Raw genomic sequence first — 14,110 nt, 5'->3', positions numbered from 1 at the left:
TACAGGCCCCCACACTTGGTATAACTGTCCACAAGGCCCTAGCCTGAGAGCCTCGAGGTCTCTACTGCCCACCCGGGAGAGGCCCCACTCCCAACCCCACACGCCTACACGACCCCCTCGGACTCAGACACTGGCCCAGACCTCCTCCCACAACGCCCCCAGTCCATCTGGGGCGCGCTCATTCCATCCCTGGCCCCGCCATCCACCCGGCTGCCCAGCCCACACACCCTCTCGCGGGGTGGCGGAGGATGGGGTGCGACTGCGGGGCGCACGGGCTGGGGTGTGTGTCTGCGGGCGAGCGGGAGGCTCCTCGGCGTGTGCTCGGCTGCCCGCGCTGTGCACGTTCGTGCGACGCGTGTCCACGTCTGAGCGCGTGGCCGTGTGTGCGGTGGGGCCAGGCCCTCCGCCCGCCCGGGTCCCGAGCCCCGCCGTCTCCTCGCTGGGCTGGGAGCCCCTCACCTTTCTCGGCGCGACCGCAGCTACGACCGTCTCCAGCTCCTTCCGCGCGGCCACTCATCGGCGTCCCGCGCTCGCTCCGAATATATACCCTCATCCGGGGGGCCGCGGCGGCGGGGCGGGCCGGGAGCGGGGGCCAAGTGGAGCGCCAGCCCCGGCCACCCCGCCCCTCTCGCCACGACTAGTGGCTGCCGACGCCTGAAGGAGTGGAAGCCGACCGCCCAGACACGTCAGCGCCGGGAGCACAGACGACGACGCGGACGCGGAGGCGGCCGCGGCCCGGGGCGCCGGGGCGGGGCTAGGGATGGGGGCCGGGCATGAAAGGAGTAACCCACCGGGCCGGGGCGGGGCCTAGTGCGTCACTCATTCTCTGGCCCAATGGGAATAGTTCTGGAGCGCAGTCGGCTGGCGTCCCGGTCCCTCCTGCGCACTAACTGAGGGTGAAGGATGTCGGTTGGGTCTGCTAGGAGGGGCCAGGAGCCGGCCGGCAGAGAGCGGCTCGTGGGTCCCAGGACCCCTGACGTCCCTAGGTTGTACTGGGAGGTGCGAGCCCGAGGCTCTTAGTCGGCCCAGCGGCACGGGGCACAAGCGGGCCACAGAGATGGGCAGGGAGCTGTGTCCCCAGGGTGGCGGATTTCCGAGCCACCCACGCGGGTGGTTGGGAAAGGGCGGTGGATTTTCCTGCGGAGAAACTTTCAGGGCGGGCCTGGCGCGCTCTCTGACCTTGGGCTAGTTATTTTGTGTGCAGTTCACAAGATGCCTGGCCGGGCTCCAAACTCGCTCTCTGTTTGGTTGTGTTTTGGCTCCCAAGAAGGCGAAGCCAGGCCTTTTTTCTTTTGCACAAACAGACAGGAAAGGAGAGAGGAAATGCAAGCAAAGGTAGTAGGTAACCTAAGGTAGTATAAGCCCGGGGTCATCTTTGTGAGTTTGCAGACTTAACGTCGCTAGGCCTCAGTACTCTGCAGAAAGATGGTGGAGGACCTAGATGACCTCCCAGGCCATTCCAGGACCAGTGTTTACAGTCCTGTTACATAACCTAGTGTGGGTGTGCACACACAGGTTATTATATGTTCAGCACTGTGCCCTTGGAAGCTATGTTTACATTTAAAGTTGTGTTGCATTTTGCAGCTTTTGCAAGAAGTGGAATATGTTGAAATACGAAAATACCTAGATTTAACATACCACCTATCATAAAGAGATTCAGGCGCCTTTCTTCTACTTTCTTGGGTGCAAAGGCCTTTTCATTCCCTTTACCAATTGCATAATCACCCACTGCCTCAAGTAACAACAGAAAAACTTAAACTTGGTAAGTAATGCTGGTAGATTTACATTCAGGAGATTGAATACTCTCCATCTCTCATGATCCTAGAACTTCCTTCGTTTCTTTGAAAGAAGAATAGTGTAGTGATTGGTTTATAGTGTAGTGATTGGTTTCTTAATCATGGGATCTGAAGACAATTTCAGCTTTATTGCTTGTGATCTTTGGCAAGCTACTTGTGCTATCAGTTTTCTCATCTATAAAAAACAGACAATAAAGATGAAAATGCCATTTGGTGGTTGTATTAAACCAATCGATATAAATGAAGTATGTAAAACAGTAAACACTAAATAACCTTTAGTTATTATTTATTATTGAGCACTTATTAATTCAAACTAGGAGACCCAGATTCAAAATCAGTCTACGCTTACTAACTGTGTGACTTTGGGTAAGTCATTTAACCACTCCAAACTCCAATGTCCTTTTATGAAATGAAGCTAATACCTATTTCACATGGGTATAGTAAAAAATGAGAAAGAACCTAAGATAATGTCTGGAATATTATAGGCATTCTATAAGTCATAGATGAATGACTGAGTAAAGAGCAAAATTATTAGTTAGCAATCCTTTAAAGAAAAAAGATAGAACTGAGGTCCAGCTCAATGTTTTTAATGAACTACTATAAAATCACATTTGTACTTTTACCCTTTTTTGCTGAAGTTTCATTTGTTTGTTATTCTGGTTACTAGGCATAAGAGGGGCCATAATCTCATCTTGCCAGCTAAATGTCCAGAAATGTCTAACACTAGAGTTATTTCTGTCCTTCGAAATACTTTTTATATACATGGTCTTTTAAGAGCTGATTGAAGAAAACAAGGCAACGATGTTCACACTACCTATGATTTTTTGACATTACACCAAAGGTATCAGCTAATGAAGTTAGACAACAGAAATCCTAAGAGGCTTATAAATTAGAAAAAATATATAAGAATTAAAAAATTATTTTTTAAGAATTTTAAAAAGTCATAAAACTACTTCGACTTGCAAATGACAAGAGAGAATACCTGGAAAGCCCTTGAGAGTCAACAATAAGACTAACAAACCACAGAAAAATTTTGGTTAGTGTATTAGTCCGTTTTCACACTGCTATCAAGAGATACCCAAGACTGGGTAATTTATAAAGAAAAGAGGTTTAATTGACTCACAGTTCTGCATGGCTGCAGAGGCCTCAGGCAACTTACTATCCTGGTGGAAGGCACCTCTTCACAGGGCAGCAGGAGAGAGAATGAGTGCTGAGCAAAGGGGGAAGCCCCTTACAAAACCATCATATCTGCCAGGCGCGGTGGCTCACGCCTGTAATCCCAGCACTTTGGAGGCTGAGGCGGGCAAATCACGAGGTCAAGAGTTTGAGATCAGCCTGGCCAACATAGTGAAACCCTGTCTCTATTAAAAATACAAAAATTAGCTGGGTGTGGTGGCACGCACCTGTAGTCCCAGCTACTTAGGAGGTTGAGGCAGGAGAATCGCTTAAACCTGGGAGGCGGAGGTTGCAGTGAGCCTAGATTTCACCACTGCACTCCAGCCTGGATGACAGAGCGAGACTGTCTCAAAAAAAAAAAAAAAAAAACAGATCTAATGAGAACTCACTATCACGAGAACACTATGGCAGAAACCACGCCAGTGATTCAATTATCTCCACCTGGTCTGGCCCTTGACACATGAAGATTATTACAATTCAAGGTGAGATTTGGGTGGGGACACAGAGACAAACCATATCAGTAAGGTAGCAAGTTATAAAATGAACATATAGAAATCAATAGCTCTCATATACACACATTATAACATTTAGAAGACACGATGGTGGAGAAAATCCCATTTATAACAGCAACAAAAAAAATTAAGTATAAATTTAGCGCAAAATGTGCAAAATCTGTGTAAGGAGAGTTATAAAAGATGCCTAAAAGCCACACAAGATATTTGATCAAATGAAAAAATTCTGGAGCTATTTCATGTGTGTTGCGGATATGAACAAATGACTAAATAAATTGATTTTGGTCATTGTGCTGTGGTTATGTAAAAGAATGTTTATGTTCCTAGGAAAGACATACTAAAATATTTAGGGGTAAAAGAATATGATGTCTGTAATTCTTAAATGGCTCAGAAAGATGAGGAGCAATGGCTTACGCCTGTAAGCCCAACACTTTGGGAGGCCAAGGCGAGAGGATCACTTGAGCCTAGGAATTTGAGACTAGCCTGGGCAACATGGCAAAACCCCATCTTTATTAAAAAACATAAAAATTAACCGGGCATGGTAGTATGTGCCTGTGGACCCAGCTACTCCCAAGGCTGAAACAGGAGGATCGCTTTAGTCCAGGAGGTTGAGGCTGCAGTGAGCTGTGATCATGCCACTACACTGCAGTATGGGTGACAGAGTGAGACCCTGTCTCAAAAAATAAATAAATAAAAGGCTCAGAAAGAAATATATGTGCATAAATACATGGGGGTAGGCAAGAAAGAAATTTGGGAGGCAAAGTAAATAATAGTAAAGTAAATGGAGGAAAACACAGTTAATTTAAAGGGTATTTAGAACTTCTTTATACTGTTCTTCAAGTAAGATTGAAATTACATAAAATTTTAAAATACAACCAACAGTGGAGTTGTTCATTACCAGTCCAACACAAAAGAAAATCTTTAACCCACAGAGCACACAGCTCTGAAGGAAAATGATCCAGGAAAGGTGTGACAGTGTACAGAACAGCATATCTGTACCATGTCACAAGCCTTCTGGCATCTGGTCAGAATGCCACATCACCTGAGAAGCTGTAAATGCCACCGGTAAGTGCTGTTTATGGTGGCAACTGTGCCTCCTTAGTACGGGAATAATGATAGGAAAATGTTTTTCTGTGATTCTCAGCCTTCTAGTTGGATACAGTGGAGGCTTAGATGAAGAGCACAGAAACCTGTACAGAGCGGGCATTGCCTGAAATCCCTCCATGTTTATATATGGATGTCTCTGAAGTTGAACTATTCTCTTAAGCGCAAACTGGCGTGTTTTCAGCATTCAAAAAAGAACAAACTGATGTTTGCTCAAAATATGTTTATTTGGCTGCTCTGTGCTAGACTTTGTGATAGACATTCTAGGGAATCAAAAGATTCTGTGTCCTTAATGGCTTATAGTGCAATAATAGAGATAGAAGAGGTTTCTTTTTCAATGCAGAGAGTCATAAGCGCCATAGTGAATGCACAAATAAAGGATTTCAGAGCTCAGAGGAGGGAAAGTATGAAGGAATGAAGAGGTTTCCCAAAAGGACAGCCAGAAGGTTTGGGAAAGAGGCAGGAGGCAAGGGACAGCCTCACTCCTCATGGGAGGCTGCCCTTTTATAAGCAGCCTTGGGGATAGAGGCCTTCATGTGTTTCCCCCCTTGTAACACCATCACCTTCTCTAACTCCTGCTGCCTCCTTAATGAAAAAGACCAAGGAATTTGTACTCAGGTTGAGAACTTAGAAAGTAAGACATCTGGCCAGGCGCGGTGGCTCAGGCCTGTAATCCCAGCACTTTGGGAGGCGGAGGCGGGCAGATCACGTGAGGTCAGGAGTTTGAGACCAGCCTACCAACGTGGAGAAACCCTGTCTCTACTACAAATACAAAATTAGCCGGGTATGGTGGCACATGCCTGTAATCCCAGCTATTTTGGAGGCTGAGGCAGGAGAATCACTTGAACCCGGGAGGCAGAGGTGGCGGTGAGCTGAGATGGCGCCATTGCACTCCAGCCTGGGCAACAAGAGCAAAACTCTGTCTCAAAAAAAAAAAAGTGAGATATCTACTTAAGGGTTGCTATTAAATAAACTGTAAAATTTGAAACACCAAAATGGAATATTTACCAAAATGTATGTATTTTTAGCAGTGTATTATGATCTCAGCTTGGTTTTCCAAAAGATAATATTTCATCTGCTAGATAGATAGATAGACAGAGAGATAGATAGATAGAGCCGGGCACGGTGACTCACACCTGTAATCCAAGCATTTTGGAAGGCCGAGGCAGGTGGATTGCCAGAGCCCAGGAGGTCAAGACCAGCCTAAGCAACATGGAGAAACCCTGTCTCTACCAAAAATACAAAAACTTAGCTGGTGTGCTGGTGTGCACCTCTGGTCCCAGCTACTTGCGAGGCTGAGGCAGGAGAATCACTTGAGGCTGGGAGGCAGAGGTTGCAGTGAGCCCAGATTACACCACGGCACTCCAGCCTGGACGGCAGAGTGAGACCCACATCTCAAAAATAAAATAAAATAAAATAAAACAGGTATATAGAAGCGGTGAGACCTGGAAAAAAATCACCTAAATTCCCTGAACTTCAGTTTCCTCATCTACAAAATTGAAATATGGAGTTGGAAAGAGAATTAAAAGAGAAAAAGCCTAGCACACAGTAGCTATTCAATAAATATTAGGTGAATTCAAGGTCAGGAGTTCGAGACCAGCCTGACCAACATGGTGAAACCCTGTCTCTACTAAAAATACAAAAATTAGCTGGGCATGGTGGTGCACGCCTGTAATCCCAGCTAATCAGGAGGCTGAGGCAGGAGAATCACTTGAACTCGGGAGGTGGAGGTTGCAGTGAGCTGAGATGGTGCCATTGCACTCTAGCCCAGGTGACAGAGCGAGACTCTGTCTAAAAATAATAAAATAAAATAAAATAAAATAAATAATAAATAAATGTTAGGTGAATAAATGAAAGACAGAAGGAAAGAAAGAAAAAAGTGAAATAGAATAGTCCTCTATTAAAAATATAGAATCAGGCTGGGCTAGATGGCTCACACTTGTAATCCAGCACTTTGGGAGGCCAAGGTGGGTGGATCACCTGAGGTCAGGAGTTCAAGACCAACCCGACCAACATGGTGAAACCCCGTCTCTACTAAATACAAAAAATTAGCCAGGAGTGGTGGTGAGCACCTGTAATACCAGCTACTTAGGAGGCTGAGGCAGGAGAGTTGCTTGAACCCAGGAGGCGGAGGTTGCAGTGAGCCAAGATTGCACCATTGCACTCCAGCCTGGGCAACAAGAGTGAAACTCTGTCTCAAACAAACAAACAAACAAACAAACAAACAATCATACCACGATTACAGGAGAGATGTTTTAAGTGGGCCATTACTACAAACAAATTAAAAAATTCAAGACATACAAGAGTAGGTTTTGTGTTTTGTCTTTTAGGGATGATAGAATTATGGTGATTTTTATATTCTTTTGGATGATTTTGAGGGGTTATTTTCTAAATATGCTACAGAGGAAATTGTTTTATAATTAGGAGAATTTTTTTTTAATTTCAGAAGAGCAGGCATGCTAACAACTTAAAAAGCTGCTTCCTTGATTGTTCTTCTCTGAAGTCATGACAGATATGTGCCAGTCTGGCCACACTCTCTTGCTTAGTACAACCAGTAATGATCCATCACCCAGGGTTTTTTGTTTTTGTTTTGTTTTGTTTTGTTTTTGAGACAGGGTCTCCATCTCTTGCCCAGGCTGGAGTGCAGTGGCATGATCTCAGCTCACTGCAACCTCCACCTCCCGGGTTCAAGTGATTCTCATGCCTCAGCCTCCCAAGTAACTGGGGTTACAGACATGTGCCACCATGTATGGCTAATTTTTGTATTTTTAGTAGAAAACGTGCGTTTTGCCATGTTGTCCGGCTGGCCACGAACTCCTGGCCTCAAGTAATTCACTCACCTCTGCCTTCCAAAGTGCTGGGATTACAGGCGTGAGCCACTGTGCCTTGCCCCACCAAGATTTTTTAACAGTAGGCTGGTATTAGCAAGTATACACTAGAGGAGCCTTCCCTCCATTGTCCTGAGTGCAATGGCCTCAGCTAGTCCACTGAACTTCTGCAAATGTCCGTATTATTTCCCAGCAGTATAGACAACACACCAGGAGAAAGTCTGGCTCAACTCAAGGCTCTGTTCAAGGCAAGGCCTGAGCATTCATGAGGTCACTGTTTCTGAGAGCCTTCAAATAAATGGGTGGGGTGGGATTAGGGTTTTGACTTTCCTTTTGACAGTTTCCTAGGACATTACTTCATTCTCCCAAGAGATCATCCTGACTTAGCTTACCACTTCTTCCACCCTATAAATTTTCTGTACTTCAAAGTGTGTTGTGAAATTCTGTGGAATGATGAGTACACTCTATTAAATGACAAATTTATTTTTTTTACCCAGTGTTTCCCACACCCTCCAAAAGTATATGCTGTCCTTCAGAGGGTTAAGTTGTCAGAAAAATATTTGTGCATCTACAGTGTGTAGGATGCTGGGGATGATATACAAAGATGAGTAAATGTACAACCTCTCAAAACTGATTATAACCTAAGAATCACATAAATAACAAAATGGAATGAACAGGAGAGAAAGTGGGCAAGAAAGTATTGGTGTGCCAGGTACAGTGGCTCATACCTGTAATCCCAGCACTTTGGGAGGTCAAGGCGGGCCAATCTCTGGAGCTCAGGAGTTTGAGACCTGCCTGGGCAACATGGCAAAACCCTGCCTCTACAAAAAATACAAAAATTAGCCAGGCATGATGGCACATGCCTGTGGTCCCAGCTACTCCAGAGGCTGAGGTGGGAAGATCACTTGAGCCCTGGAGTTTGAGGCTGCAGTGAGCCGTGATTGTACCACTGCACTCCAGCCTGGGCAACAGAGCCAGACTCTGTCTCAAAAAAAAAAAAAGAAAAAAAAAGAAAAGAAATAAAAATTGAGAGTATCAATGTGTGATAATTACAGGAGGTACACAACCACAGGATTCCACACTGAGGTATGGTCTTTATAGTGTGGAGGAGTGGACTTGAAATTTTATTCCTGTGTTGTTGACTGGAAATTACCTGGTTCACCTCCCTTAATTCATAGATAAGGAGACAAAATTTCTCATAAGTTAAGAGATTAACTAAAGGAAAGAACAAGTAGTTAAGAAAAAACAGGAGGATCAGAAGTCAATCTATTGCCATATAACAGAGATCCTCTGAAGGTAATGAGTGTAAAAATAATCCAGTCATTAAAAACCTCAACCACCATAATCAATTATTCCAATATATTTTCTTCTCTTAAAACTAAATGGCTTGTAACCATTATGAGTCCTAGGTCAAATACTTAATGCATACTCTTGAGAGCCCACTTGGCTGAATCTTTCTTTTTTTTTTTTTTTTTTTTTGAGATGGATTTTCACTTTGTCACCCAGGCTGGAGTGCAGTGGCACAGTCTCAGCTCACTGCAAATTCTGCCTCCCAGATTCAAGGAATTTTCCTGTCTTAGCCTCTCAAGTAGCTGGGATTACAGGCGCCTGCCACCACGCCCAGCTAATTTTTTGTATTTTTAGTAGAGACTGTTTCGCCATGTTGTCCAGGCTGGTCTCGAACTCCTGGCCTCCAGCGATCCACCCACCTTGGCATCCCAAAGTGTTGAGATTACAGGCGTGAGCCACCACACCCGGCCTTGGCTGGATCTTTCTAATGCAGGCAGCCACACAGTGTTACTCTCTGCAAGGGAAATTCCTCAAAAACCTAGCCTAGAATGGCCTCTGACCTACATTGAAACCAGAAGGGCAGCATACTTTATTCTAAACCTGCTCTCCACCTATTTGGTCATTGTTCAGCCATCCATCTCTGCTGGGCTGTTGACCTTCCACAAGATGGTTTCTCAGATGTGGATGATTTCTCAGAATACAATTTTCATAATATAGTTTTTCAGCTCTACTCTAAGTGAACATGTCTGAATTTATTGTGCATTTTATCTCTTATCCTTCTCACACATACGATATACCACAAGTTATTTTTGTTGGAGATATCTCCTGGTCACCTATTCCTTCTTTATGAATAGACAACAAATTAACTTTGTTTTTATTTTCCAGGTAATATCTTAGGCACAGCAAAAACTTCCTCAACATTTTTTGCTCCAGACCTCATATCTCCCCTTGGCCTGTGTTACTGAATATTAGTGGAAGAAAGAACCGATGTTGCAACAAAAGTCTCTGGCAGTGCTAACTGGCTTGACATCAAAATTGAATTACAAAAACAAAAAAAGAAAAAAATTGAATTACAAAAGTGTGGTTTCAAAACTTCCTTGGGTTCTCAGAGCTGCTGGGTAATTATTTCCTGTGTCCCCCCAAAGCATTTATTTATTCATTTAATTTGTCATTAACTGCTTAGCATAATAGGTAAGAATATGAACTCTGAAGCCAGACTACAAGAGTTGGAGTCTTGGCTCTGCAGTTACTATGACCTTCAACAAGTTAACTGATGTCTCCATGCCTTGATTCCCAAATGCAGACATAAATAAAACCTATCAGGCCTGGCGTGGTGGCTCACACCCATAATCCCAGCACTTCGGTAGGCCGAGGCAGGAGAATTGCTTGAGCCTGGGAATCCGAGAGCTAGCCTGGGCAACATAGTGAGACCCTGTCTCTCCAAAAAAAAAAAAAAAAATTAATGTAGAAAAAGAAATAAGACCTACTTAATAAAAAGACCTACCGACTAGAGTTGCCGTGAAGATTAATATTTATAAAGTGTTTAGAGCAGTTTCTGACACAGAATAAGAGCTCTGTAAGTTTTTGTTTAAAAAATTATATTTGTTGGCTGGGTGCAGTGGCTCACGTCTATAATCCCAGAACTTCGAGGTGGGCAGATCACTTGAGGTCAGGAGTTCGAAACCGGGCTGGCCAACATGGTGAAACCCCGTCTCTACTGAAAATACAAAAATTAGCCAGGCGTGGTGGCAGGTGCCTGTAGTCCCAGCTATTTGGGAGGCTGAGGCAGGAGAATTGCTTGAACCCTGGAGGCAGAGGCTGCAGTGAGCCGAGATAGTGCCACTGCCCTCCAGCCTAGGCGACAGAGCAAGACTCCATCTCACTATATACATATATATACACCTATATATGTGTGTATGTGTGTGTGTATATATATATATATATATATACTCACAAAGCTAAACTTAGCAAATATGTGTGTGTGAGTGTGTATATATATATACAAAACTTCATGATGGAAAGAAAGGAGAGAAAGAAGGGAAGGCGGGAAGGAGGGAGGGAGGGAGAGAGGGAATAAGGAAGGAAGGAAGGAAATCACCTTTTGGGCCTGGCACATAAAACAAATCCTGTATGTGTGTGTATACACAAACACACACACACACATATATTTGCTAAGTTTGGCCTTGTGAGTGCCAAGTATTGAGAATAGAATGGTGTGCATTTGGAGGGGGTTTGTGTAACCCCTCTCCTTGAGTGCAGGCAGGACCTATGACTTGCTTCTAACAGAATATGGAAAAGGAGATACTCACTCCCCTGAACACTTTATGCTATTTGACAAAGGTGAGTAGATGTCACTCCCAAGATCATGTTACATTATGTAAGACTCCTTCTTGCCAACAAACTATTTTCACAATTCGGCTGGCCTTGAGGAAACCAGCTGCCATGTTGTGAATGGCCTGTGGAGGACCACATGGCAGAGAACTGCATGCAGCTTCTAGGAGCTGAGAGTGGCCTCCAGCCAACAAAAACACAAACAAACAATAAGAAAACAACAACAACAAAACCCTGAAATTTGCAATCCTGCAAATGCAAGGAAACAGAGGGAGCTTGGAATTGGAGTCTTCTCCAGTCAAGCCTCCAGGTGAGAATGCAGTGAAGCTGACATCTTGACTACAGTCTGGTGGGACCTTGAAGCAGAAAACCCAGGTAAGCCCGGGGCCAACAACACCTTGATTGCAGCCTTGTGAGAGACCCTGAACGAGAATACTCAGGTAGATGAACATATTGGAGAAAAACGTGCAATCATGCTGACTCGTCTGACTTTAAATTCATGAACACCACAGAAATATGATATGCTATATTTCTCTAGTCTACTCTAGAGAAATATCATTTTACCATCCTCCTAGATGACTATTTCACATCTTTTTTTTTTCTTCAGGCCTCTATAATCTTCTCCCCCATGCTCACTCTCAACAGATAACCTTGCTTCTTTCATTGAGAAAACAAAAGCAATCAGAAGAGAACTTTTACAAGTTCCCACCACCACACCCTCCCATGTACTTGTATCTGCACCCATATTTTTATCTTATCTCTATGTGCTTAGGATAAACTGTCCATGGTTCAACCCCTCTACCTGTGTGCTAGATCCCATCCTTTCATGCCCACTCAAGGACATCGTTCTGGGGCTTGAATTATTTAATTTTTTAAAATTTAATTGAGACGGGGTCTCGCCATGTTGCCCAGGCTGGTCTCAAGTGATCCACCTGCCTCATCCTCTCAAAGTGCTGGGATTACAAGTGTAAACCACCATGCCCGGCCTTGAATACTTACTTACACAATTAACATGTCTTTAACTGAATTCCCAAATGATTCCTATACACCTCCAAAACTACCTGCTTCCCTCCCTCAGTCTTCCCTATCTCTATGGTTTCTCAGGCCAAAAATCTTAGAGTCGGCCGGGCGCGGTGGCTCACGCCTGTAATCCCAGCACTTTGGGAGGCCGAGGCGGGAGGATCACAAGGTCAGGAGATCGAGATCATCCTGGCTAACACAGAGAAACCCCGTCTCTACTAAAAATTAAAAAATTAGCTGGGCGTGGCAGTGTGTGCCTGTAGTCCCAGCTGCTGGGGAGGCTGAGGCAGGAGACTGGCGTGAACCTGGGAGGCGGAGCTTGCATTGAGCCGAGATTGCGCCACTGCACTCCAGCATGGGCGAGAGAGCGAGATTACGTCTCAAAAAAAAAAAAAAAAAAAAATCTTAGGGTCATCCTTCACTCCTTTTTCTCATACCAGATCCAATCTACAGCAAATCCCATAGGCTCTATGTTCAAAGTACATCTAGAATCTGACCAATTCTCAATATCACTTTCTCCCATCATCATTTCTTACCTGGATTACATAACGGCCTCCAAACGAGTCTTGCTGCTACCCTTGCCCTTGTTTTTATCTTTTCTTTTCTTTCTTCCTTTTTTTTTAAAAAATTGAGATGGGGTCTCACTGTTGCCCAGGCTCGTTTCGAACTCTTGGGCTCAAGTGATCTTCCAGCTTCAGCCCCCCAAAGTGCTGGGATTACAGGCGTCAACGACCACACCTGGCCCCCTTGCCCTTCTTAAAGCCATTCTCAATACAATAGCCAGAATGATGATCTGTGGATTTATATTACCCTTGTGCTCAAAACACTCTGATGGCTTCCTATCTCAACCAGAATAAAATGCAAAATCATCAAATGACCCACAAGGTCATCTATGCTGTCCCACTCCACCTGGCCTGCTCCTTCTCTAACTTCTCCCTTTTATGTTCTCCATAGCCTGCCCTGATTCACCAGACTCCAGCCACACTGGAGCTTAGAATTTGTCCTGAGGGCAGTGAGGAGTCCTTGAAGGGTTTTTCTTTTTCTTGTTTTTTTTTTTCGTTTTTTCTTTTTTGAAACAGAGTCTCACTCTGTTGCCCAGGCTGGAGTCCAGTGGTGTGATCTCGACTCACTGCAACCTCAGCCTCCCAAAGTGCTGGGATTACAGGTGTTAGCCACTGTGCCAGATCCCCTGAAGGGTTTTTAAAAGCCTCCATTTTGTCTTCTCTGCCTATAAAGTGGGACAAAATACAGACAGTTAATATGACAGGCCTGCACCTCCTACAATACCAGCCCCTTATGTGATAAAACTGTTCTGATTGGCCTTGCTGACCCAGCAGGGGCACAAAGGGTCCCTTAGTAGCCAAGCTGGTGTTACTTGAGACTCCTTTTTTATTTTCCTTTTTGTGATGAAAGAAAGATTAAAAGCAAAAAAAAAAAAATCAGTTAAAGACCTGAAGCTTTTAGGATTTTCAAAAGAAAAAAATAGATTATTTTTTAATTTTACAGATATTATAAACATTAAAATTCGAAACATACAAAGGAGAGAAAGAAGGGAAGGAGGGAGGGGGAATAAGGAAGAAAGGAAGGCCACCTTTTGGGCCTGGCACATAAAACAATTCCTATTAAAGGTAGTATTTTTCCTTATAGAGTTGAAAGTCTAAGTACTTTTAAAAGACTATTTACTATCCTTGGCAGTGTTCCTCCCCAGGGAGAGAGAGGAACAGTGTCTTCTCTGAAATCTTGACTTCACGTAGCACACCACACCCTGCCCCAGTTGAGCTCATTTCTCACCCACAAGTTTTTGAAAAGACGCCCTGGGGTTTGCTCATGAGCCCAGACCTTTCTGGCATCTCACTGAAGTAACTTCTGACTAGATTTGTCATGATCGTAAGGCTGTTTTAAAGAGACAATTTAGATTCTTCTTTTGACGGAATATATTTCATTGCACTGTATTCTCAACAGTTAAAATGAATGCATGATAAAATATAAACAGGCCACCCAAGAATAAAATAAATCCTTTTGACTGAAATAAACATACAGACTTTTTTCTTTT

General features: G+C 44.1%; 1 protein-coding gene and 1 long non-coding RNA gene across 18 annotated transcripts in view, besides 1 other annotated feature; one reads left to right on the top strand and one right to left on the bottom strand.

Moving 5' to 3' along the window:
- The window catches only part of UAP1 (UDP-N-acetylglucosamine pyrophosphorylase 1), a 39,710-nt gene extending 39,004 nt beyond the window's left edge, over positions 1-706 (bottom strand). For 10 of the 17 annotated variants that reach the window (NR_174352.1, XM_047428845.1, NM_001399790.1 and 7 more), the window contains exon 1: positions 460-706. Coding sequence is in view for 1 of the 17 variants with exons in the window: in NM_001399793.1 (NP_001386722.1) it covers positions 460-553 (94 nt within the window). In the remaining 16 variants the exon portion in view is untranslated. Of the gene's footprint in view, positions 1-227; positions 368-459 lie in introns of those variants that run through there. The other 7 variants (XM_047428848.1, XM_047428843.1, XM_047428849.1 and 4 more) reach the window with 2 other exon arrangements.
- Positions 27-926: a silencer, noted in NCBI's record as "silent region_1493". NCBI's record gives its function as "represses an Ori minimal core promoter by ATAC-STARR-seq in GM12878 lymphoblastoid cells {active_cell/tissue: GM12878}" and the evidence as "EXISTENCE:reporter gene assay evidence [ECO:0000049][PMID:35858748]".
- Positions 884-9,684, top strand: UAP1-DT (UAP1 divergent transcript). The gene is made up of 3 exons (XR_426859.4): positions 884-999; positions 1,585-1,762; positions 9,592-9,684. It is a non-coding gene; the product is annotated as a UAP1 divergent transcript (long non-coding RNA).
- Positions 9,685-14,110: the final 4,426 nt, after the last annotated feature.

The sequence above is a fragment of the Homo sapiens genome, chromosome 1, assembly GCF_000001405.40.
Source record: "Homo sapiens chromosome 1, GRCh38.p14 Primary Assembly".
In the NCBI taxonomy this organism is placed as follows: Eukaryota; Metazoa; Chordata; class Mammalia; order Primates; family Hominidae; genus Homo; species Homo sapiens.
This window is presented reverse-complemented; position numbering and strand designations above follow the sequence as displayed.